At 40.0% G+C, this 3,065-nt stretch overlaps 1 annotated feature.

Annotated features, from left to right (window-relative positions):
• Positions 1,899 to 2,482: an enhancer, noted in NCBI's record as "NANOG hESC enhancer chr11:106147524-106148107 (GRCh37/hg19 assembly coordinates)". NCBI's record gives its function as "activates a minimal SCP1, AML or CMV promoter by ChIP-STARR-seq in naive H9 embryonic stem cells {active_cell/tissue: H9 hESC(naive)}" and the evidence as "EXISTENCE:reporter gene assay evidence [ECO:0000049][PMID:30033119]".

Here is a 3,065-nt window from a genome sequence, read left to right on the forward strand (position 1 = left end):
TTGTATATTGCTTAGGGCAGTATGGCTATTTTAACTATGTTGATGCTTCCAACCCATGAGTATGGGATATTTTTGCATTTGTTTGTGTCATCTATAATCTCTTTCAGTAGTGTTTTGCAATTTTCCTAGTAGAGATCTTTTACCTATATATTTTTTACCTATACATATTCCTAGGCAATTTATTCTTTCTGTGGCCATTGTAAGTAAGATTACATTCTTAATTTGGTTCTCGGCTTGAGTGTTATTGGTATATAGAAATGCTACTGATTTTTGTACATTGAGTTTGTATCCTGAAACTTTGCTAAAGTTTCTATCAGCTCTAGGAGTCTTTTGGCAGAGTCTTTAGCATTTTCTAAGTATAGAGTCATATCATCAGTGAAGAGAAATAGCTTGACTTCTTCTTTTCCTGTTTGGATGCCCTTTATTTCTTTCTCTTGACTGATTTCTCTGGCTAACAATTCCGGAACTCTATTGAATAGTAGTGGTGGGAGTGGGCATCCTTATCTTGTTCCAGTTCTTAAGGGGAATTCTTCCAGCTTTTGCCAATTCAGTATGATGCTGGCTGTAGGTTTGTCATAGATGGCACTTATTATTTTGAAGTATATGCCTCTGATACCTAGTTTGTTGAGTATTTTTATCATAAAGAGATGTTAAATTTTATCCACAGTTTTTCTGTGTCTATTGAGATGATTATATTGTTTTTGTTTTTAATCCTGTTTGTGATGAATGACATTTATTGATTTGCATATGCTGACCTAATCTTGCATCCCAGGAATAAAGCCTACTTGATCAAGGTGAATTAGCTCTTTGATTTGCTTCTGGATTCAGTTTGCTAGCCTTCTGTTGAAAATTTCTGCATTTGTGTTCATCAAACATATTGGCCTAAAGTTTTTTTTTTTTTTTTTTTCGTTGTGTGTTTTTATGGTAGCAGGTACCATTCTTTTGTTTCCATGTTTAGCACTCAAAGACCCCTTGTAAGTCTGGTCTAATGCTAATTAATTCCCTTAGCGTTTGCTTCTCTGAAAGAAATTTTATTTTCCCTTCACTTACGGAGCTTAGTTTCGAGGGATATGATGTTCTCAGTTGGATTTTTTTTAAGGATGCTGAAGATAGTTCTCCAATTGCTTCTGCTTTGAGAGGTCCCTTGCTAGCCTGATGGGTTTCCCTTTGTAAATGACCTGATCCTTTTCTCTAGTTGCCTTTGAGATTTTTTTCTTTCATGTTGAACTTAGACAATCTGATGACTGTGTGCCTAGCAGATAGTCATTTTGTATGATATCTTTCAGGGGTCTCTGAATTCCTTGAATTTTCATGTTGGTCTTTCTAGCAGGATTGGAAAAATCTTCATGGATTATATCCTCAAATTTATTTTCTAAGTTGCTTACTCTCTATTCTTCTCTCTCATGGATGCCAATGAGTCATAGGTTTGGTCTCCTTACATAATAACATATTTCTTGGAGGCTGTGCATTTTAAAAAACTCTTTAAAACTTATTTTTAATGTGACTGTGTTGATTCAAAGGACCAGTTTTTGAGCTCTAAAATTCTCTCCTCAGCTTTATCTATTCTGTTGTTAATGCTTCTAACTGTATAATGAAATTTCCTTAGTAAATTTTTTAGTTCCAGAAACTCAGTTTGGTTTTCTTAAAACAGATATTTCATTTTTTACTTCTTGGATTGTTTTACTGAATTTCTTGTATTCCTTGTATTGGGTTTCAACTCTCTCCTGCATCTTGTTGAGCTTCCTTGTCATTCAAATTCAGAATTCTACATCTGTCATTTCAGTCATTTCAATCTGACTTAAAAACATAGCTAAGGAGCTAGTGCCATTGTTTGGAGGTAAGGGGACACTCTGGCTTTTAGGACTGCCAGACTTCTTGCACTAAATCTTTCTCATCTGAGAGGACTGTTATTCCTTCCTTTTTCAAGTTGCTGTCATTTTTCATTGGGCTTTTTGTTTTTATATTATTACCCTTGAGGGTTTGATTGTGGTACAAGTTGAATTCAGTCAATTTGCTTAGATTCTGGGTGCTTACAGTAGATTAAGACTCTGTATGGGATGTTTATTTGTGGCTAGATTACTGAATTGGGCAGTGTATATGGGCAATTATTTGTTGGTGTTTGTTATTCAGGCTGTGATCCTGTAGATGGCACTTAAGAGTAATGGCTGGCAGTTAGGCCCCTACCTGCAAGCCTCTTTCCCATTTCAATGCATTTGCAGTGGTGCTTTTTGGTGGAGGAGGCAAAAAGATCAGAGAGATGAACCCCTCACCAGATCCATTCCCTGGCCTTAGGGGAGCTCCCTGCAGTCACTGGAACTATTCCTGCAGTTCTTTAGTTTCAAGGGGTGGGGTTCTGTCAGACTGTGATACTGCCTTCCTTACAGACAGCTGAAACGGAAAGTTAAGTTGCCAGGAGACCTGCAGCTCCCTGGGAGCTTGTTGTATCTCTGTGTTTGGCACAGTCGTTGTGGGTTGTGGGATATGTCTGCAGGTGGTCTGTTGATGTAGTAGGTCAAGAATGGGGATCTCCAGGCAAGGCCAGTGTTGCAGTAGGTGTGGAACTAATGTGGCACCTGTACCCAGGGATTTTTGCTCAGCAGACAGCTATAAGGACCACCCATTTATTTCTCCCTTGACCAGCTTTCCTTCTGGTGGCTGTCCCAGTAACTGGCCTGATTAGCTAGTTTTGTTCCAAGCCTACTGCACACAAATTGCTGGGCTATTAGGTGTTCAGGGCTGCAGGGATCCTTCAGTCAGAGGCTGCAGCCACTGTGGCAGATAAGCCACACCCTTCCCAGACCAGCCCTACAGAAGGGGGCACACCCAAATCCTGCACTGACCCATAAACTTGGGCCTCACTCTTCTCAGTGTTCTGAGAGTGAAGGCTCTTTCATGCTTGAGTTCCAGCCACTTATCTCAGCTTCACCCTCCAGAGCTGCATGCTCTTTCTAACCCTGGGGTTTAGGACTGGGCCCTTGGCTTTGTCCTCTGTCCCTTAAAACCAAGTACCAGCTGTGCTGAGGGGCCAAGGTGTTCCCAGGCCACCAGCAAACCACTCAGGCCAG

The sequence above is a fragment of the Homo sapiens genome, chromosome 11 (genome assembly GCF_000001405.40).
Source record: "Homo sapiens chromosome 11, GRCh38.p14 Primary Assembly".
NCBI lineage: Eukaryota > Metazoa > Chordata > Mammalia > Primates > Hominidae > Homo > Homo sapiens.